Source organism: Homo sapiens, chromosome 14, assembly GCF_000001405.40.
Source record: "Homo sapiens chromosome 14, GRCh38.p14 Primary Assembly".
Lineage (NCBI taxonomy): Eukaryota > Metazoa > Chordata > Mammalia > Primates > Hominidae > Homo > Homo sapiens.
Window position 1 is genome coordinate 72,346,911 of NC_000014.9, and position 23,763 is coordinate 72,370,673.

The 23,763-nt window shown below is 40.7% G+C and overlaps 1 protein-coding gene across 51 annotated transcripts in view; it reads left to right on the forward strand.

Moving 5' to 3' along the window:
- The window catches only part of RGS6 (regulator of G protein signaling 6), a 762,695-nt gene that overhangs the window by 479,576 nt on the left and 259,356 nt on the right, over positions 1–23,763 (forward strand). For all 51 annotated transcript variants that reach the window (NR_135235.2, XM_024449761.2, NM_001370270.1 and 48 more), the window contains one exon: positions 5,185–5,284. Coding sequence is in view for 50 of the 51 variants with exons in the window: in XM_024449761.2 (XP_024305529.1) it covers positions 5,185–5,284 (100 nt within the window). In the remaining variant the exon portion in view is untranslated. The remainder of the gene's footprint in view (positions 1–5,184; positions 5,285–23,763) is intronic.

Here is a 23,763-nt window from a genome sequence, read left to right on the forward strand (position 1 = left end):
AACCCACTCTATGGCATAATGGTTTCCAGTGTCCTGCTGTTTGGAAGAATGTTTTACCTGCCTGTCAGTGCTGAGCTTTGAGCTCCTTGAAGAAGGACATTCTCGTGGCTGTGGCCCATCCAGGCAGAACCAGCCTAGCTGGCCAAGTGGTTTCTCTGCATCGTTTGGCTGTCAGATAAGGGCCACCTGCTTATTGATTGGCACAGTGACGCTTAAGTCCAAACATCCTCCCTAATGACACAGAACTTCATATTAAAGGATGTCAGGGAATTGATTTTGCTCTTCTTTAGGAACAAAAGATGTCAGAAGTTAGAAGGAACTGAACAGTCAGGAAAACGTAAGTCTCTATACCTTCCCATCACCCCATCCCTGACCCACAAGCCATGATCGGCCAGTGGAAGATAAATCTAACCAATCCCATGGGACAAAGGGAGAGAGCCCTGCACAGCAAGACAGCAGCAGTCATTGGGCAGAAATAAATCATGAGATGGTTGAGAATCTGATTCTCTGGGTCAATTTCTCTGCATCCTCCTCTGCCCTTTTAGGCCTGTGCTAAACTTTCCCTTTGATGCAAATGGTATTAAGTGCCTTGTGTCTGAAAAGGTTGTTGGCAGGCTTTGGTTGAGAACATAAAGATGAATCTTTGTTCTCTTGTCTATAAAATGGGGATATAATAATCTACCTCCTGTGAGAATTCAATAATTTTATAAGATAAAGCTCTTAGAGCAGTGCCTGGCCCAGAGTGGATACTCAACTAATGTTAACTAAGAAAATGAAAATGAAAATCCAGGAATAGTCTCTGCCTGCAAAATGTTTTGAATGTAAGGAGGGAGATGAGACGCTGTGTATATATGCCTCTGTTCTGTATTTTTAATCAACTACTAAGGCCATAGAGAACAAAGAGTTACCCCTTTTTAAGGTAAAATAAATTATACTCATTGTCCAGCAAGGAAGAAATGAATTGAAAATCCTAGAGGCAGAAAAGTGCAGAGTTTGGAGACTACCAGGTGGCACTGAGACTAAAAGCTTTATTTGCCATGTTCAGCTCAAGATTTAATGGGTTGTATAGTGTAAGGGGCTAACTCCAGGATCTGCTGGAACTCACTCTGGGATCCACAGCAAACAAAGCACTAACCTTGGCATATGGCGCTGCGAGAAGTTTCCTAGGATCAGCCAGGCTCTGGGCCACTCACTGGGTTCATGCCTCTGAACATTACCTTCCAGGAGCTGCCCCCATTACTGAACCTAATACGCTACTCAGAAGTTTTGTAACCAAGGTTTTCTAAAAGTCTGAGAAATAGAAGATGAACTTTAGATTTGATAAACAGGGCTGTACACTGGAGTCAGGTAGAGGTGAGTAGGAATCCTGGCCTTGCCACTTACTAGCTGTTTGACCTTGGATAAATTGCTTAACCTTTCTAAGCCTCAATTTCAATGTCTTTATTAAATAACTTTTATGACCGGGAAATCAATTAAATAATTTATTTAAAATACTTAGGGCAGTATTGATCATGAAATAGATGTTCTGAAAATACTTATAATGATTTTGATCAGTTCCTGAGAGCCCACTTGTAATTTTCATTGGGTCTGTACTCTTGGGACTTCTCCAGAAACCATGACAAGGAATTTTAGAGAGTATTACCCGATATTGTAGTGGACTGTGCTCAAGAATCAAATACAACAATGTCAAAAATTTGTCTGACACAACAAAGAAATGGACTACCTGAAATAGTATATATAGTCCCTAAGAGTTTTAAAATAGATGGTGGATGGTAATAAATTGAATTTCTGCGTTCTTAGAAAGGGTGATTCAGAGATACCCCAATTCTAAGAGTCACTGACACTGAATGTCAAGTATTTTTTGTGGCTTCAGAAATTTCTGATAAATGCATTTTTTCAGAGTGTTGTTGTATCATAACTTTGCTGTAGAGCAAACCACTTCAAACTTAGTGATCTATAAAAATAAACATTTATGGCCGGGCGTGGTGGCTCACGCCTGTAATCCCAGCACTTTGGGAGGCCAAGGTGGGCAGATCACAAGGTCAGGAGATCGAGACCATCCTGGCTAACATGGTGAAACCCTGTCTCTACTAAAAATACAAAAAATTAGCCAGGCGTGGTGGCAGGCGCCTGTAGTCCCCAGCTACTCAGGAAGCTGAGGCAGGAGAGTGGCATGAACCTGGGAGGTAGAGCTTGCAGTGAGCCTAGATCACGCCACTGCACTCCAGCCTGGGTGAAGAGTGAGACTCCGTCTCAAAAAATATATATAAAATAAAAAATAAATAAACTTTTATTGCTTGCTCATGAGTCTATAGGCCAGCTTAGGTTTGGCTGATCTAGCAATGGGTTCAGTACCATTTGCTCCAGATGTCTCTCATCTTCCTTGAAATAACAACTATTCTGAGGCGTGTTCTTCTCATGGTAAGAGGGCAAGAGAAGGGAGTAACTACAGCCATGCAGGTACATAGCAAGTCCCTGTTCATATCACATTCAATAACACCCCAGTAGCCAGGCAAATCATATGGCCAAACCCGAAAGGGAAAAGGTAGACACTGCTCACTATGAGGCCAAGGCAAGTATTCAGGTGTATATTAATACCATGGGGGAGTCAGGAACTGGGGGGCAATAATTCCTTCTTCCACACCTGTGATGTTGCAGACTGTTGCTGGAGTGTAGTCTTCTTTCTGTTAGTTGAGGGGATTGTTTTTTTGATCTAGCTGTAACCCCTGATGAGTGATGTACCTCTTAGTAAATTGTGGGCAAACATAAGGAAAAAGGACCTCTTTAGTAAATGAGCCTTCTAAGATTCAGTCGTGTGGTGAAATAACTAAACTGAGTGGAGGACAAAGAAGTCACAGAACCAATCCTTCAAATCCAGCCCGCAGCAGCAGAGGTGTAAACAGTTACTATCTAATGTCCACTCCGGGGTCTACCTGAATTGAATTGTTGGTTTCCTTCCAATTCTCAATGATTTTCTGGCCATTTTCATAGAAACCATCAATGTAACTGATACTTCTGGTTTCAAATAATATGCTAGATCAAAAGCATAAATTACCTTGAAAATGTGACCATTTTTCTAGCTCTCCTTGGCTATCAATAAATAATACTCAAATTGCTCTAAATTGTTGGATTGAGTTTAGGAGACAAAGGCCAGCAGTAACTGAGATGATTAACATGAATTGGGATAAAACTCCCTCTTCAGTTTTCATCTAACAGAATGCAGGTCTTCAGAGAATGATTGTCTTTTCTAGCATAATACTCATCTACCTCCTGAAGGGCTGGGAGCTTAGAATTCTTTCTCACTCTCAGTACTTCTTAGAGAAACCCAGAAGAGTCCAGTGAGAATGGTTTCCCTGTTTGGCTGATTTTCTGGGAGGCAGAATGGCTCAGGGGTTAGATGCCATTCTGGGATCTATGGCTGGATTCAAACTTGGCTGCACACCTGGGTAGCTGTGTGACCCTGCGAAAGTTGCAAAGGTTGGTTAACCTCTGCAGTTGTCCCTGATGTTGATCACAGATCTTCAGTTCCCCTTTCCTCCTGTCACCCAGAGGACTGAGTCCCTGGCTCCTTTGTGGTTGGGTGGTGCTATGTGACCAGTTCTGGCCAAGGATTGTGAGCAAACATGCTCTATGTAACTTCTGGATTACACTATTTAATACCCAGTGAGAAACTCTCCAGAATTCTCTCTTGTCCCCCTGGCACATTGACCAGCAACATGCAAGGTGATGTAACTCCAATGAGTAGGGTTCCCTTGTTGACCTACACTAGACATGTAGCATGACAGAGAAATAACCTTTGTGCTAAGCCACTGACATTTGGGGGGTTATTTGCTGCCATAACTTAATCCACCCTACCCTGATTGATGCACCTCACTATATCTTTGTTTCTTTATGTGAAAAAATGGAGATAATAGTAGAATCTATTTCATCAAGTAATTATGAGGACTAAACAGGATAATGTGTGTATAATACTTAGAATAGTACCTAGCACATAATAAATTTTTAATATATTTTAGCTATTTATGATGATGATGATGATGTTATGCCGTGCTCTAACTTTGCCTCTAACAAGTTATCTATTTCTATCAAACAAGTTATTAGTCATGTGTCTTCAAGAAAATCACTTATCATCAAGTTGCAATCATAGTATGTTAGAATAAGTGAGCTGTAAGACTAATTTCTAGCCTTATGATGTGAGCCTCTATTAAGAACTCACTCAGAGACTCCATCCTGGTGTTTCAAAGATATTTCTATTGGTTAGGAAAATAAAACGTGATAATACTAAACATTATTTTCTCCCCTTCAGTTGCTCTCCCTTCCCCAAACAAAAAGATGTATCCTTATTACAGAATTCTTTCTGTATCCTGTTCTGAAGATTTCTGCTCAGGAAATTACTCTGGCTCGTAAATTATTAACTACAAATTGGTTTTCCGGTTTAGGCACCTACACCCTCATCAGTCCATCCCCATTCTCTGTTCTGTTTTCACCAGTAGGATGTCAACAGTCCACTATGATCTTTTTTCCTGATAGCATGGTCTTACCAAAAGGAGAAGTTCCTGTCCTTGACCACCTTAGTCCAGGCTAAAATAGCTATCCACATACCACCACTCATGACCACTGAGACCTGTTTTCCAACTTCTTCAGATCAGAGCTTTCCATATCTGGTTTTTCTCTCATGTTACTCTAGATGTATCCTTCTCTAGTCCCAAAGGTAGCCCTGTCTGCAATTCCCAATAGCAGCATGTTAATCTATGTTAACATATTATATTGAACCATAAGAAATTGCCTTTGTGGAAGGGGTGGGGGTTGAATATAGAAATTTCATATGGTTCAACCTATATGTAAACCCAATTTGGAAAAGAAGGAGACTGTGATCACATACCTATTAAATTACATGTTGGATCCCATCAAGAATCCTAATGTATTTCTTCCTCCATACCTTGTTGAACTGGGATCTTGTTCCAGGACATGACTTATGCTCTGTATATAACCTTCAGACCTCCCTATACCCAGCACTTGGTAGATAGCAGATACTGATGCTGTATTTATTGACCAACTAGATGGGAGCTTTTTGTGATATCTATTGTTGACATCCATGTTTATACATTTGGGCTGTTTAAAAAGGTACCATTTATAATTACATTATGGGAGAAAATAACACTTCTTTTCTTTAACCTCTTTCAGATTGAAGACATCATTACAAAGATGCAAGATGACAAGACAGGGGGTGTGCCCATCAGAACAGTCAAGAGCTTTCTCTCCAAAATCCCCAGTGTCGTCACAGGTAACACCCTCCTTGCAAGGTGTTGGTAACAGTCAGAACTACCAAAGAGTTATAAGTCTAGATTGCGGCCTGAGGGGTGTCTGAAGATCTGTGAATAGTAAAAATGAAACATTCAGTGTGTTTCTTGACTCAGGTCCCATCCTAGTCTTAGTTTCCAGGAAGAAGCTACTTGTTGCCCATCATTAAGAATGACCTTACCATGACCAGCCCTTCAAGTGCATGTAGATTGAGGCTGCTGGGAATAAATAAACCCATTAATAAAGTGGCGCATCAGCAACTTTGCCTGTGGGATACACACAAGCACAGAAATATTAAAGAAATTAAACAGGTTTTTAAGAAAGTGTTATATTCAAATTCTACAAAATGCTTTTATTTTCAGTTTTTTAACTCAGTGTACTTGACCTCCTGAAAGAGAGGTTTTAAACTATTTTTCTTCATTCCTTATATTGTGCTTTGTGTGCTCATCTTTCTTTTAAAATATTTTATTGTGAAATATATTAAAACACATGGGTAGTTCAAAAATAATAAAACACAGTACATGTACCTACCATCCTGCCTTATAAAGAACATTATTATCAATATCTTAGAGCCCCCTTGGGTACCTACTGTATTGCATCCACTTCCCTAAACACTATCTGCTTGTATACTAATCAATTCATTGTTTTTCTTCATAGTTTTACTACCTAGGTATGTATCTTTTGCTATCCAAACAAGTAACCAAATAAATTAAGATAAAATTTTAGATGATTCTCTTAATCTGCCTATATGCTTTTCAAAATTCGGGAACCAAAGGACTTAGTTTTCACTATATACCTTTTAGAATGGCTAAAAATAAAAATATTGACAGTACCAAGTGGTGGTGAGCATGTGAAGCAACTGGAACTCTCACATATTGGTGATACGAATGGAAAATTGTGCAGCTACTTTGGGAACTAGTTTGGCAGTTTCTTACACAGTTAAGCAATGCTTACCATATGAACCAGCAATCCCACTCCTGGGTATTCACCCAAGAGCAATGAAAACTTGTGTTTATACAAAAACTTGTATGTAAGGGTTTATAGCAACTTTTATTGAAGTATACTGAAGAATATAGCAACTTTATTCATCATCTCCAAAGACTGGAAACAACCCAAATGTCCTTCAGTGAACGGGTAAATGGATAAACAAACTGTAGTCTCTCCACAATCAGCAACAAAAACCAGGGAACTATTGATACTGGTAGCAACTTGGATTAATCTCTAGGTCATTTTTCTGAGTGAAAGAAGCAGTCTCAAAGGTTACATGCTATGTGATTTCAGGTATACAGCATTGTATACATCACAAAACCGTAGTGATAAAGATTAGATCAGTGGTTTCCAGCAACTGGCATTTGCAGGGCGAGTGTGACTGCAAAAGACAACAGGAGGGAGTTTTATGAGATGATGATGATGAACAGATGAACAGTTCTGTATACTGATTATGGTGATGGTAACATGACTCTATACATAGGCCAAAATTCATGGAACAGGCCAGGCATGATGGCTCATGCCTGTAATCCCAGCACTTTAGGAGGCTGAGGTAGGGGGATCACCTGAGGTCAGGGGGTTGAGACCACCTTGGCCAACATGGCAAAACCCCATCTTTACTAAAAAATACAAAAATTAGCCGGGCGTAGTGGTGCGTGCCTGTAGTCCCAGCTACTTGGGAGACTGAGGCAGGAGAATCACTTGAACCTGGGAGGTAGAGGTTGCAGTGAGCTGAGATCGTGCCACTGCACTCCAGCCTGGGTAACAGAGCGAGACTCTGTCTCAGCAACAACAACAACAACAACAGAATTCATGGAACAGCACACACACACACGCACACACAGGGTCAATATTACTGTATATTAACCTAAAAAATAAGTAGACCCAGTTGAAGTAAGTATCCCAGCTCATTATTGAGACTGTCACTCTTTGAACTCAGGTACTGTCTTACTCAGCTCAGGCTGCTAGAACAAAGCACCCTACACTGGGTGGCTTATAAAGAACAGAAATTCATGTCTCACAGTTCTGGAGGCTGGAAGTCTGAGATCAGGTACCATCATAGGTTCTGGTAAGAGCCCATTCCAGGTTGTAGACTGCTGACTTCTTCTTGTATCCTTGTTTGGTGGAAAGAAAGCTAGATAGGGGGCCGGGTGCCGTGACTCATGCCTATAATCCCAGCACTTTGGGAGGCTGAGGTGGGTGGATCACCTGAGGTCAGGAGTTTGAGAGCAGCCTGGCCAACATGGCAAAACCCTGTCTCTACTAAAAATACAAAAAAAAAAAAAAAATAGCTGGGTGTGGTGGCACGTGCTTGTAGTCCCAGCTACTTGGGAGGCTGAGGCAGGAAAATCACTTGAACTGTGGAGGTTGCAGTGAGCAGAGGTCACGCCACTGCACTCCAGCATGGGCAACAGAGTGAGACTCCATCTCAAAAAAAAAAGTAAGCTAAATAGCTCTCTGGCCTCTCTGTAAAGGGTAATAATTCCATTTGTGAGGGGCCCTCCTTCATAAACTCCCCCAAAGGACTCCTAATGCCATCATGTTGGGGATTAGATTTCAATATATGAATTTGGAGGAGACACGTTCAGTCCAAAATAGAGCCCAGATAGATTTGGGTAATGAAGGATACTTGTATTGTTAGTGTTCTCTAATTTTAAAATTTATGTAAATGAAATTTTACTATATATATTATTCATGTATAATATACAGTATAATATAGACTATGTATGTAATTTTACTATATTATTTTTCACATTCCTGGATTTTGTTCAATAATGTTTAAGATGTTTGTATCTATTTCACAGGCCACACTGATCTGTTGTTTTTCTTACCATTGTTGCTGGTTTGGGTATCAAATTTATGCTAGCCTCATAAATGAGCCATGAAGTATCTCTCTTTTCTTGATATCCTGCTTTTCTTTGAAAAATAATTGTCCCTTTAATCCAGGTTTTAAGTATGTAATTTCAATTATTTTTTATTTTTAAAATTTCCTCTGGTTCTTTTTTTTTTTTTAGACAGAGTCTTGCTCTTGTCACCCAGGCTGGAGTGCAGTGGCATGATCTCAGCTCACTGAAACCCCCACCTCCTGGGTTCAAGCGATTCTCCTGTCTCAGCCTCCTGAGTAGCTGGGATTACAGGCATCCGCCACCACACCTGGCTAATTTTTTGTATTTTTAGTAGAGACAGGGTTTCACCATGTTGCCCAGGCTGGTCTCGAACTCTTGACCTTAGGTGATCCGCCCACCTTGGCCTCCCAAAGTACTCTGGTTCTTTTTACAATATACTTGGTCATTCATTTTTTTAAATTTATTCATTTAGATATTTATTGAGTGTTCACTATTTTCTAAGCATTGTTAAGGACTTGAGATTCAGAAGTAAATGAAACAGATAAAAAGTTCTACCCTCATGGAATTTATATTCTAGTAGAGGAGGAAATAAGTAAGGAAAACTTGCAGAATTTTAGATTGTGATAAAGGCCAAGGAGAAAAATAAAATACACAAAAGGATGGGAAGTGTTGGAGTGTTGCAGCTTTGGAATAGGTGCTCAAGAAAGAGCTCCTCGAGAAGATGACATTTGAGTAAAGACGGAAAGGAGATGAGGGATTGAATCATATGGATATTGAGGGAGAGAGCATGCCAGACAGCCAGAGCTCAGTGCCCAAGGCAAGAGAGTTCCTGGAACATTGAGGATCTGTGAGGAGGAGCCAGGGCAGCTATAATAGAGTCAAGAAAATAAGGAGAGTGGGGATGAAGCCACGTGAGAATGGTGAGCTTGATCACTTAGCCTCTTATCACTGCAGGATTTTGCACATGGCCTGACATGCTCTGACTTACCTTTCAATGAGATCACTCTATTATATTCAGAATTCCCTGGGGGATTGAGGGGTTAGGTGCCAGATAGGAGGCTATTATTAAAATGGTGCCTCAGACTAGGTGATATGGTTTCACTCTGTGTCCCTACCCAAATCGCATCTCAAATTATAATCCCCACATGGCAAGGGAGGGACCTGGTGGTAGGTGATTAGCTCATGGGGAAGGTTCTCCCGTGCTGTTCTCATAATAGCGAGTGAGTTCTCACAAGATCTGATGGTTTAAAAGTGTGGCACTTCCCCCTGCTCTCTCTCTCTCCTGCCGCTATGTAAGACATGCCTTTTTTCCCCTTTACCTTCTGCCAGGATTGTAAGTTTCCTGAGGCCTCCGCAGCCATGTAATTAACTGTGAGTCAATTAAGCTTCTTTCCTTTATAAATTACCCAGTCTCAGATCATTCTTTATAACAGTGTGAAAATGGACTAATACACTAAGCTATCAGCACTGGAGATGTGTGAAGTAGTCAGATTCGGATTCAAGTCTGAAGGTAGATGATATGGTTTGGCCAAGTCCCCACCCAAATCTCATCTTGAATTGTATAATAGTTCCCATAATTCCCACATATCATGGAAGGGACCTGGTGGGAGGTAATTGAATCATGGGGGCAGTTACCTCTATGCTGTTCTCATGATGGTGAGTGAGTTCTAATGAGATCTGATGATTTCATAAGGGGCTTTTCCCTGTCTTTGCTCTGCACTTCTCCTTGCTGCTTCCATGTGAAGACAATGTATTTGCTTCACTTTCTGCCATGATTGTAAGTTTCCTCAGCCGTGCTGAACTGTGAGTCAATTAAACATATGTCCTTTATAAATTACCCAATCTTGGGTATGTCTTTATTAGCAGCATGAGAATGGACTAATACCGTAAATTGTTACTAGGTAGTGGGGCACTGCTGTAAAGATACTTGAAAATGTGGAAGCAGCCAGGCGCGGTGGCTCATGCCTGTAATCCCAGCACTTTGGGAGGCCATGGCAGGTGGATCATTTGAGGTCGGGAGTTCAAGACCAGCCTGGCCAACATGGTGAAGCCCTGTCTCTACTAAAAGTACAAAAATTAGCTCAGTGGTAGTGGCACGCACCTGTAATCCCAGCTACTTGGGAGGCTGAGGCAGGAGAATCACTTGAGCCCAGGCAGCAGAGGTTGTGGTGAGCTGAGATCACACCACTGCATTCCAGTCTGTGAGACCCTGTCTCAGAAAAAAAAAAAAAATAGAAAATATGGAAGTGACTTTGGAACATGGGTGACAGGCAGAGGAAGGAACAGTTTGAAGGGCTCAGAAGAAGACAAGAATATGGGGGAAAGTTTGGAACTTCCTAGAGACTTGGAGGGCTTAGAAGACAGGAAGATGTGGGAAAGTTTAGAACTTCCTAGAGACCTGTTGAATGACTTTGACCAAAATACTGATAGTGATATGGACAATAAAGTCCAGGCTGAGGTAGTCTCAGATGGAGATGAGAAACTTGTTAGGAACTGGAGCAAAGATAACCCTCGTTATGCTGTAGCAAAGTCAGGTGGCATTTTGGCCCTGCCCTAGAGATTTGTGAAACTTTGAACTTGAGAGAGATGATTTAGGATATCTGGCAGAAAAACATTTCTAAGTGCAGAGTGTTCAAGAGGTGACATTTGACATCTCTGGACACAAGAGAGCATAAAAGTTTGGAAAATTTGCAGCCTGACGAACCAGTAGAAAAGAAAAACACATTTTCTGGGGAGAAATTCAAGCTGGCTGCAGAAATTTGCATAAGTAAGGAGGAACCAAATGTTAATTGCCAAGACAGTGGGGAAAATGTCTCCAGGGCATGTCACAGACCTTCAAGGCAGCACCTCCCACCACAGGCCCAGAGACCTAAGAGGAAAAAATGTTTATTTTTCCTCTTAGGTCCAGGGCCCCACTGCTGTGTGCAGCCTAGGGACTTAATGCCCTGTGTCCCAGCTGCTCCAGCTATAGTTAAAAGGGGTCAAGGTACAGCTCGGGCCATGGCTTCAGAGGGTGCAAGCCTCCAGCCTTGGCAGCTTCCACATGGTGTTTGTCTTCTGGGTGTGCAGAAGACAAGAACTGAGGTTTGGGAACCTCCATCTTGATTTCAAAGGATATATAGAAACACCTGGATGTCCAGGCAGAGGTGTGCTGCAGGGGCAGAGCCCTCATGGAGAGCCTCTGCTAGAACAGTGCAGAAGGGAAATGTGGGGTTGGAGTCCCCACACAGAGTCCCCACTGGGGCACTGCCTAGAGGAGCTGTAAGAAGAGGGCCACTGTCCTCCAGACTCCAGAATGGTAGGTCCACCCCCAGCTTGCACTGTGCAACTGGAAAAGCTGCAGACACTAAACACCAGCTGTGCAAGCAGCCAGGAAGGAGGCTGTACCCTGCAAAGCTACCGGGTCAGAGCTGCCCAAGATAGTGGGAGCCCACCTCTTGCATCAGCATAACATGGGTGTGAGACATGAAGTAAAAGGAGATTATTTCATAACTTTAAGATTTAATTAGTTACCTATTGGATTTCAGACTTGCATGGGGCCTGTAGCCCCTTTGTTTTGGTGAATTTCTCCCATTTAGAACAGGTATATTTACCCAGTGCCTGTACCCACATTGCATTTAGGAAGTAACTAGCTTGCTTTTGATTTTACAGGCTCATAGGTGGAAGGGACTTGCTTAGTCTCAGATGAGATTTTGGACTTGGACTTTTGGGTTAATGCTGGAATGAATTAAGATTTTGGGGGACTGTTGGGAAGGCATCATTGTGTTTTGAAATGTGAGGATATGAGATTTGGGAGGGGCTGGGGTAGAATGATATGGTTTGGACATGTCCCCACCCAAATCTCATCTTGATTTGTAATTCCCATAGTCCCCATGAGTCTTGGGAAGGATGCAGTGGGAGGTAATTGAATCATGGGTTGGTTACCTCCATGCTTTCCTCATGATAGTGAGTGAGTTCTCATGAGATCTGATAGTTTTATAACGGGCTTTTCCTCTACCTCACTCTTCACATCTCCTTGCTGCTGCCATGTGAAGAAGGATGTGTTTGCTTTCCTTTCTGCCATGATTGTAAGTTTACTGAGGCCTTTCCAGCCATGCTGTACTGTCTGTCAATTAAACCTCTTTTCTTTATTTCCCAGTTTCATGTATGTCTTTATTAGCAGCATGAGAACCGACTAATAGAGTAGAACAGATATTATTAGCGGATAGATCAGATATGGAATGTGAGAGGAAAAAAAGGAATTAGCCATGATCCACACTTTTTGGCTTCAGCAACTGGAAAAATGGAGTTGCTATTAATTTCAATGAGGAATACTATAATAGGGGTGCCAGGGGTTGGGGTGGGGGGCAGTTGTTAGCTGAAGGGTAAGAAATCAAAACACAAATTTTAGGTCAAGTTTTAGCGACCTATTAGACATTCAGTTGGAGATGACAAGTAAGTATTCCAGTATGTGGATTTGGATTTTAAGGGAGTGTCTGTGCTGGGTTCATAAGCCATCAGCATGTAGACAGTATTTAGAGCCATAGGAATAATGAGGTCACCAAGGGAGTGAGTGTAGATAGAACACACAGTCCAATTCCTAAAACACAGGGTACTCCAATCTATAGATGTGAGGGAGAGAATAAGAAAACAGCAAAAGAAATAGAACAAGTGGCTGGAGACAAGGAGGAAAAATCAAGAGGATATAATTTCTTGGACACCAATTTTTCTAGAAAGTGTTTTAAGGAAGAGTAGAGTGACCTACTATAGCTATGCTGAGAAGCTAAGGGCTGAGAATTGATCATTGCCTTTAGCAATGCTGAATTCATTGCTGACCTTGGTAAGTGCACATTCTGTGAAACATTGGGAGCAAAAATCCTTATTGGGTGTGTCCAACCTGAGATGAGGAGAGTGATTCGAGGTGCTAAGACAGTTAATCTTGGAAGGAGTTTCCCTTGTAAAATGAAGAAATGCAGTCATATCTAGAGGGGTACGTTAGGTCAGAACAGGTAGATTTTTAATTTAATAAAAAGATAATATGTTTGTATTATAGAAATGACTCAGTGGGGGTGGGGGAGATGATGTAGGAGAATGGGAAAACTTCAAGGAGTTATATCAAAGAATAGGTAAGAGAGGATTGAATTTAACATGCATATTGGTGAGTAGTTTCAGCTAGAAACACATACAATTTATTCATAGAAAGAAGAAAGGAGGCAGCCGGGCACAGTGGCTCAGGCCTCTAATCCCAGCACTTTGGGAGGCTGAGGTAGGCAGATCACAAGGTCAGGAAATCAAGACCATCCTGGCTAACACGGTGAAACCCCGTCTCTACTAAAAATACAAAAAAATTAGCTGGGTGTGGTGGCGGGCACCTGTAGTCCCAGCTACTCGGGAGGCTGAGGCAGGAGAATGGCATGAACCCAGGAGGCAGAGCTTGCAGTGAGCCAAGATCACGCCACTGCACTCCAGCCTGGGTGACAGAGTGAGACTCTGTCTCAAACAAACAAACAAAACAAAACAAAAAAGGAAGAAAGGAGGCATAATAGATGCACAGAGGTACAAATAAGTGGGCAGATGTGATGGGAGGTGGTGGAAGCTTATAGATCTTCTCATTGTCTCTATGTTCCTAGTAATCTGGAAACCAAAAATGGTAGAGATTTTGCAAGTTCAAGGAGAGATCATAAGTTATAAATTAGTCAACTAGGAAAGTAGAGATTGACTGGACTAGGGAAATAGAACTTTGATTGTGACTGATATGGTTTGGCTCTGTGTCCCCACTCTGATTTCATCTCAAATTGTAATCCCCATAATCCGCACATGTCGAGGGAGATACCTGGTAAGAGGTGATTGGATCGTGGGGGTGGTTTCCTCCATGCTATTCTCATGATAGTGAGCAAGCTCTCACGAGGTCTGATGGTTTTTATAAGTGTTTGACAGTTTCTTCTTCACAGACTCTCTTGCCTGCTGCCATTTAAGACATGCGTGCTTCCCTTTTCGCCATGATTGTAAGTTTCCTGAGGTCTCCCTAGCCATACGGAACTGTGATTCAATCAAACCTCTTTTTTTTTTTTTTTTTTTCATAAATTACCCAGTCTTGGGTATATCCTTATAGCAGTGTGAGAATGTACTAATACAGTGACCTTCTTAGGATGATTAATATTTTTGAATTTAAAGACAGGTAATTTTTTTCCCCATCCACATTTAGCTCTGTGGATTTGGGCATGCCTCAGGTAGAAAGTGGACTTAATTGATGTTATAGCAAGTTTGAGGTTATAATAGATCAAGACAGAGGCACAGTAACTAAAATGATTGCCCATTACATTTAATTGAGTAAGGATGAAAACAAGAACATGAGATGGATGAGGAACCATGAAGAGTAGTAATTACCACAAATTGTAAGTCAAGTGGCAAAGAAATTTTGGAGTTTTCAGAGGCAAGAGTAAGAGAGCTGAAAATATAGTAGATGGTGATTAGATGGTGGCATGTTTGAAATTGAGATTCTGGAAAGATTGTGATTATTGGCAGGGACAATAATATAAGATATAACCATAGGAACAAGGCATTGAAATGGGATAAAGTGTAAGATTTTTGGAGGAGAGGAGGTTAAGGAACTGAGAGGCCATGATACTGGAAGACTGAGCTGTGTGAATATTGAAATCACTACTGGGGGAGTGTTAGAGAAGGTGGTTGTGAGTTAAAATCTTTATGGAATGAGAAGCAAAGGACCAGGGATCAGCAGATGACTTTCACAATAAGAGGTACAGGTGGTTTAATCAGATGGTATGGGAGTCAAAGCTGAGTGTGTTTTAGAGAAGAGGGAGGGGATGAAGGTGATCTGAAAGCAGCAGTTAGTAGCAGGACAGTCACTTATCTACCTGTAAACCCCATGGTATATAAAGTGTGGGAGGGAAAATAGCCACCACGTAAGAGGGCTGCAGGGAAGCAGGACCACTGGGGAAGAATGAGAAGATGAAAGGAATATTAACTGATTTTATTTATGATTCATCATGAGTCCAAGAGGGCAAGTGGAAGGGTTTCAGGAGGAGATGGTGAGTTTATGACTTGAGTAATAAATGCCTGCTGTTGCTATGTGCCAGGCTCTAGAGTAGTCACAGACGATATAAAGATGAACAAAGACTTGACCCCTGCTCTTAAAAAGCTATTAATCTAGTGAGAGAAACAGACACAGGTAGATCAATGATTTATATGAGCTATGTGCCATAATAGAAGAATGGACAAAATGCTGTTTGAGTCCAGGAGAGAGAATCATGAATTTTTATTGGGTATGTCTAGAATATTTCTCTGAGAAGGTATATCAGTTATCTATTTCTGTATAACAAACCCACAAACTATAATTGCTTACAACTACAGTGATTTATTGTTTCTTATGATTATGATTCCATGAACCGGCAATCTGGGCAGTTCTGCTGGTCTCAGCCATGAGGCCATAGTCATCTGATGGCTCAACTGAGGCTGGAGGGTCTACAGTGGCCTCACTCATTTGTTTGGCCTTGGTGCTTACTCTTAAACTCTTAACTGGGGTCTCAGTTCTTCTCCATGTCACCTTGTATCTGCCAATAGGTTAGATTGGGCTTCTTCACAGCCTCTTGGTCTTAGGGTTCCAAGCAGGACAGGATAAAAACTGCAAGACCTCTTAGGGCCTAGGCTCCAGAACTCATACAATGTCAAGTGTGCCACGTCACGTTCTTCAAGGCAAATTACAAGGCAAAGTCTGGATTGAAGAGGATGGAGAAACCAACTCCACCTCCTGGTGTAGGAGTGGCAACATCATGTTGACATTGGGAGACACGATTCATTGGAGGGCATTACCATAACAATCTACCACAGACAATAATTGAGAACCGGACCTTAAACATAAGTGGAAACCCAGGAAAAGTCATTCCACGTAGAGAAAATAGAATTTTCATAGCCTCAAATACATGACAAACATGCCAGGTTTCAGTAAGTATAAGCTTGTTTGTGTGGTTGGAGTTTAAAACACATTTATGTGTGTATGTATTTGAGAAGAGGAGCATATTGGCAGAACAGCCACAGGAATGAAAAGGATACAAGAATTACACCTAATAATATATTATAAAGGAAAGCTGACTTGTAGACTTTGTTCCAAAGGTGGGGCTGCTTTTATCTCAAAGGTAACCCATCTACCCTGCTCAGATGGACTGCCGTCAGAGGTTTTAAATATGAGGGAATTCACATCCATGAAGTGGATGGAAGTTTAAGCAGGAAGAAATGAGGAGTGTGGAGACTAGTTATGGAGTCTAGATGAGGGAATGTATGTGAGAAATAAGGCCATATTAACGACAACCACAGCATCAACTGAAACCATGGCTGTACAGCCACGCATCATTAAATACTTATAAAAACCCCATGAGATAGAAACCGTTATTATCTCTACCAAGTAATGGAGGAAACTGCTAATTCAAGAGTAACTTTTCCAAGGTCACACCACTAGTAAATAGCAGGATCTGTTCCTCTGGGCCACCCGTGTAAGGATGGTAGCAGTAGGGTTCAAAAGATCAGAGGAAACAGTAGAAGGTATGATTGACACAACCTGCTGACTTGAAATAGAGCAGAGGGTAACTCATCCAAAATGGATACACCTTAATATCATGGATTGAATACATTCATTTAACTTTTTCTCTTCTGAAACCCCACAAAAATTATAGTAAAAGATTTTTATTTTAAAAGCATGATCTAAAAGTTGGAGGCCTCTATTACAGTGATCTACCATGGGAAATAAACATCCTTAAAAATCTTGAAAAGATAGTCCAGTACAAAGGGCAGTCAGTGCCTCACTCTCAAGATGTGCAGATGTGTGAAAGACTCATGGAGAATAGTCTTCCAACACAGGAGACAATAGCCACAAAACTCAAGAATCTGAAAAACAAATGGATGAGTGGTAACTGACAATAGCCCTGAAACAATCTAACCATCACTTGTCAGTGGACAAGGCTAAAAAAAAAAAAAAAAAAAAAAAAAAACTCTATATTTATATGATGGAGTTCTCAATGGGCTCAGAAACTGGTAACATCAGCAGACTTTTCTATCTAGTTAGAATACATTTTGCCAACACTCTCACCTACTTAACTACTGCACAGACCAATCACTAGCTAGTGTCTATTGTTTAGCAATATCAGATCCTGCACTTGGCCAGCACAGCTCAGGCTGGTGTTGAGGTGGTTCCTAAGACCAGTCAAGCCCCAGGACAGAAGACAAATCTCATGCTTACCTCTAGTTGCTGGCACTAGAGTAGAGAATTACATAGAGAAAAAACCCAGGTCACTGAGACCCATGGGTACCAAACTTAAAGTTGAAACGCATTAATACATGGCCACCCTGTTACTGTGGCAAGAGAAGCTGTATCTACATGGGACAGTAATCAGCCCACACTTCAGCCTTTCCACCAGCTCAGCAGCCTCCATCAGACTTTCTAGCCATTTGAGAAATAGCCAGTTTCCCATCACAAACCAGCAGATACCAGCAGATACTCCAACATTGGAGCTTCCATTTCAACAGCAACAGCTGGGGGAATAACTTTTTCTCTTCTCTATTGGGACCCCAGTTCTTTAATAAAAATTGAAAGTAAAGATGAAAGAATAATGGACATTATAAGGCTGGTTAATCAGCAGTGTCTTTATTTCTTGCACTGCTACATAACGTACTGTCCATACCTACATGTGACTTTGCTAAATAAACAGCAAGTGATTTCAATGGAAGAAGGCAAGAAGATGGAGACCAATGGCACGATGATGACAGTCTGCTGGTGAAAGCTTCTTTCCAAAGATGATATTGATGAGGAATGCATGAGCATGTCCCAGTGCATCCAAGACTCTGTCACTCTCAGAAGCTCTGGGAAGCTGCTTGTCACCACTTTCTCAGCAACACAGTGAAAGTCAGAGAATAATGTTGATAAAAAGTAGTATCTTGCTGCAAGGCCCGTCTCTACACTGTCAAGTTACCACATTGAGTTGAAAATTTTGCCAACATATCCAGATCATCCCAAAGGCGAAAAGAGAAGCAACTGTTAATGACCTACACCAAATAAATCAACAAACACATAGCAATATGCGGATGTGTACCTTTGTAGTGGATCAAATGAGCCTGGACAAGAAACTCTAAATGGAAAGTTTTAGAGCATAAAGAGAACATTCTAGAAAAAGAATGTACTTGCCAAAAAAGTCAAAACTGAGATAAAGGAAAAATTGTAGACCTGGGGAATGTGAATTTGGAAAAATAATTTATGGGTACTGAGGATAGAGATAACAGGGGAGGTATAGCTATAAGCAGAGCAGAAAATTGATATCCAGTTTTCCAGAATTCACAGGTGACATAGAAGGGAACCATTGTACCAAGTGATACACAAAGATCAGAGTTGAAGAGATGTGATTTCGTCCACGAGTCCCTTTAAAGCTGGCTTTGTGGTGTGTTTGTTTACAACCTTCCTAAGGTGTCGATGTCTACCAGTTGGAACAGTGACACAAGAGATGGTAGGCATTTCTTGACTTTCCATCTCACAAATTAAATTTGTTTGGTGAATTCCTGAAGGATCCATACAGAGCCTGGACTGAAAGCACCTGTTTCGATCTTATGTGCTGAAAGCAAAACCTTTTCTCATCAAATGTTTCTCTTCTTTGTCTTTCTGGCTTTCATATGTGTGATCTAACTTCATTGGTTACATCTTTATTAATAATAAATATCTAATAAAAATGTTAATAAATTTAAATAAATACATTGAATAAAAATAACCTATATTCATCTAACCTGTTTTGGGTAAAGGAGGTTCCTATACCCAAGATAAGGACTTGAGGAAGTTATGGGTTTGGGAGAGAAGACACAAGATCAGTCTTGATTATGCTAAGCTTGAGGTTTTGAAGGGTTATTTGGGTAGCACTGTTTAGGAGAAACTTGGAAGTGAGGAGCCAAAGTCCTGGAGAACATTTTATGTAAGAGATATGTATGGATTTGGGAGTCATCAGAGTCTGAGTGACCCGGGACTCCAGGGTCATGACTGGGAACTATAATTTTCACATCTTCTTCTATAAGCCATGTATTAGTCTATCTGCTACCCAGCCTTGAGATAACATGCTCACCCACCCCACATCTTCTATGATTTTGAGTTTGAAATTTTCCCACCAATATGTAAGGGAAATTATCTTCCCTGCTCAGATCAGGACAAACTCATAGGTGAATTCACAGGTATTGCTGGGATGAAGAGGGAGAAGGAATGCCTGTTGGTTCACCTGTGGGTTCGAAATGTTGGGATTGGGAAGGTTGGCCCAGGGAGTAAATGCACTGAGTTAGGGGATAGATATGTTTGGGAGAAGGCCAAACACAAGAGATAACCATTAGAATATAATCTCTGTCTTAGAAAGTGAAAAATTAAGAGCTGTAAGGGGTGAGGTTTAGCAAATAAATATTTCTGAGCAAAAATAGAGAATTGGAGAGAGAAGGAAATACGGAAGAAAGAAGAACCCAACATCAGATCAAAGTCCAAGGCTCATTGGCTTTTTGCAGGGGAAGTCACATACAAACCATCTCATCTTCCAGAAGCTTAAGATTTCTGAGCAAGGTGCCCACAGAAAGGGTACTTCAGAGCCACCCTACCAATCCCTTTTCAGGACTACAGACCAACCTCCTCAGACCCTCTTTGAATAGTAAGTAGGTAACAAAGATGATCACTGGAGCCAAGATGGTGAGTCTTCGGAGTTTCCAACCTCAGCGTGCCAGCTCTATCCACGCCCCACCTGCCCTGCAGGTGATAGACATATCCTGGGCAGAATGCCTGCCAGCCCCAGGAAAGCAGCCAGATTGTGCAGCTTTGCCCAGCTGTCATAGACAGTCATTCCAGGATAATTCTCCATCACCTGAATGTCATGAAGAATTTTCCAGGGACTTTGGAGATTTATTTCTTCCAGACCACCCTCAGAAACACAAATTCCTAGCATGTAAGAGCCATAAGATGCATCTAGTCTCACTTATTCTTGCAGTCAGGAAGATTGAGTACCAGAGACATGATGTAATGTCCTCAAAAATCACAGTTAAGGACAGAACCAAGACTGGAATCTGGATTCCTCACTACCATTGCAAACTGTTCCCATGATCTCATGCACAAAATTATAGACTCTTGGATTGCAGCAGTTTCTTAAAGGTGTTTGATGCGTTCTCCCTGAACATGAGAATCACTTGTGTAACTTGTTAAAAATAGATTTCCAGGACATCCCCATGGGTCTGGACTCGGGATCCTCTATTTTCAGCAGCTTCTCATATTTATCTCCTACAGCCTGTATGAATTTGGGAATGTGTAAGACCCCTACAGAGTGCTCTCTAGCCTCTGTTTTAACAATCTGCAATGATGGATGTCATCTCTCCTTCCATCTTTGGACAACTTTGACCTTGAGAAACTTTTTTTTTTGTAATAAACCTACCAGCCTCCTCTTGCTTCACTGCATTAGTCCCAATTCTACCTCTGTATCACAAAGAATAGAGGAATGGATTTGATTAAAATTATGCCCACCTAGCTCTTCCTTATGAAATTTTCTTGCACAAATAATTTTCAGAAAATATCCAAGGTATATACATGCATTTTTATTTTACTTAACACATTTTTTTATGAATACATTTCTGTCTTTTCATTATCCACAAATTTATTTTTAATAGCTTTATGTTTACCTAAACATTTAAAAGTATTATTCTTACAGTTTCTTGGCAATACAGTTTGGAGTCTAGGCTCCAAACAGCCTATGTGACCTGGGTTGGTCACTGTGTGACCTTGAGCTAGTCACCAACCTCTTTGGGCCTCAGTTTTCTCACCTGTTAATTGATAGGTTTGGATTAAATGATATTTGTAGTCCATTCTGACTCTGATCTTCTGAGATTCTTCACAGGATATGTATAAAGGCCTGTCTGAAGTTAATTCTTTTCACTTTTTCTCACGATGTTCTAACTGAATCTACCTCTGAGTTAATTTAGGCCACCAGTTTTGTCTTAAGATGTGTGTCTCAGTCTGTCTTCTGCTGTTGTAACAGAATGCCACAGACTGGGCAAAGAAGAGAGAAATGTATTTCTCACAGTTTTAGGGTCTGGGAAGTCCAAAAGCATGGTGCCAGCATCTAATGAGGGATATCCCATGGCAGTAGGCAGAAAATGGAAGGTGCATGTGTGTGAACTGGGGATGGGGGGTGCAAACTCAGCCTTTTTATTGGGAACCCACTCCTTGGATAGCTAACCCACTCCTAGGATAACTGCATTAATTCATTCTGTAGTTAATGCTTCTCACTTTTTCTCAAGATGTTCTAACTGAATCTACCTCATGGAACCCTCATGATCTAGTCATTCATTAATGATCCCATCTCTTAATATTGTTACTGTGGTAATTAAATTTCAAGATGAGTTTTGGAGGGGACATCCAAACCATTGCACTGTGGTACTTCCAGATTAGAAAACCAAAGAACAAGAAACAGCCTCTGTTTTAATAACGTGCGATGATGGATGGCATCATCACTCATTCCATCTTTGGACAACTTTGACCTTTAGAAACTTTTTTTATAATGAACTTCCCTGCCTCCCTCTTGCTTCAATTCATTCATCCCAATTCTATCTCTTTCTCACAAATAGAGAAATAGATTTCCCAAATTAGTAATTCCCTGAGAATTGCCCAAAGTTAATCAGTATTCTTAGTCTTTGTTACTCTTCTTCTGCTTCTGTATCACTGGAAGGAAGAACTTTAAAAATGCCTCAAAATAGAGATAATTTGTTGGATGCATGTAGAGGGCTGAATAATGGCCCCCCAAAATATCAGCTTCTAGTTCTTTACATCTGTAAACATTTGTTGATAAAGGGTCTTTGAAGGTATGGTTACATTAAGTATCTTCATATGGGTAGGTTATTCTAGATCAGGGTGTCTAATCTTTTGACTTCCCTGGGCCACACTGGAAGAAGAATTCTCTTGGGCCACACATAAAATGCACTAACACTAACGATAGCTGATGAACTAGAAAAAAAAATCACACACACACACAAAAATCTCATAATGTTTTAAGAAAATTGACTAATTTGTGTTAGGCTACATTCAAAGCCATCCTGAGCCACATGTGGCCCATGGGCCATGGGTTGGACAAGCTTGTCCTAGATTATCTGGGTGTGCCCTAAATACAATGACATGTATCCTTACAAATGAGAGTCTGAGGAAAATTTAGTATAGAAAGAAGAGGAGAAGGCCATATGGCCTCAGAGGCAGAGATTAGAATGATGTGGCCAGAAGCCAAGGATGCCAGCAGCCACCAGAAGATTCCTTAGCACCTCCAGAGCAAGTATGGCCCTGCCATCACCTTGATTGTGGCCTGGTGAAACCAACTGTGGACTTCTGGCCTCCAGAACTGTGAGATAATAAATTTCTCTTGTTTTAAGCCACAAAGTTTGTGGTGATTTGTTGCAGCAGCCATAGAAAACTAATACAGTGCCAAAATTACACTAAGCACATTATAGTTTAAAGTAGATGACACAATGATTTTTTTTAGAAAAATTGTGATTCATTAACTGAAAAAAGAAACAAGCAAAAATTTAGTTTTCTTCCAAAGTTTTATTTGAAAAAATATAGATTATAATATTAATTTTGAAAGCAAATTATACTAACATGAACTTATGTAGTAGAATTATTTAATAAGCATTCAGCTTAAATTGCTTAATAAAGTTATAAATTGTATTTGTCCAGGTCTAATGTAGTTTAAAATATCTTTTGGATATCATAACTAATCATATTATTTCCACGTTCGTGATGGAATTAAATCAATTAGTTATAAAATAAAATTTATTCTTAATTAGTATGCCAAAATTTATACATACATAAAATAATCTCTTAAAATATTCACTTCGAAAAGTGGTATATTTATTTCAGTAATGCTTCCATTGCTTTGATTTTTTCAGATTTTTTTCTCCAGTAAGAGCTTTTAGAACTTGTTTAAATATCCTCAACAGAAGCAAAGCCATGAATTCATAACCATATATACATTTATATAATCAAAATTGATTTGGAGATTCTGCTTTGGAGAATGGTAGACTAGCCTACTCAGACCAACTGTCTGAATGAGAACAATTACAAAATCTGGTAAAAAAAAAAAAAATTCACTTGATGTCACTGGAGAGTTAACAAGAGAATAAAGAGTTACTGGGCCAAGATTCATGCTAACATAAACATCCATAGATATGATGGTGGCCTTGGGTGCTGTTTTTGCCCTGGGGACATTTGGTAATCCAAGAGAGCACCTGTCAGACGATGCCTTTATTAAGGCCCATGGACATTATCTCCTATGCCATAGGGGTTGTGGATTTGCTAGTTTAAAGAAAACACATGCAAAGATGAGAGCTTATTTACCTGACTCTGGTATTGACTATTAGGTTTTACCATGGTCAGCAGCTGTGGGCTGTGTCAGGTTTGGGTCAGGGAGATGAGGAACAAGGAGGCTACATCTTAACCGCACGGGGAGGGGACGTTTTAACAAGGCCAAAGGTGATGAGGTACATCAGGGTAAACATGTGTTAGGCCTAAAAATGGATGTCAAGGCAGCAACTATATTAAACAAATTTATGATGGGCAGTGATTACTGTTTACCTCTAAGGGGCAGGGAGTATA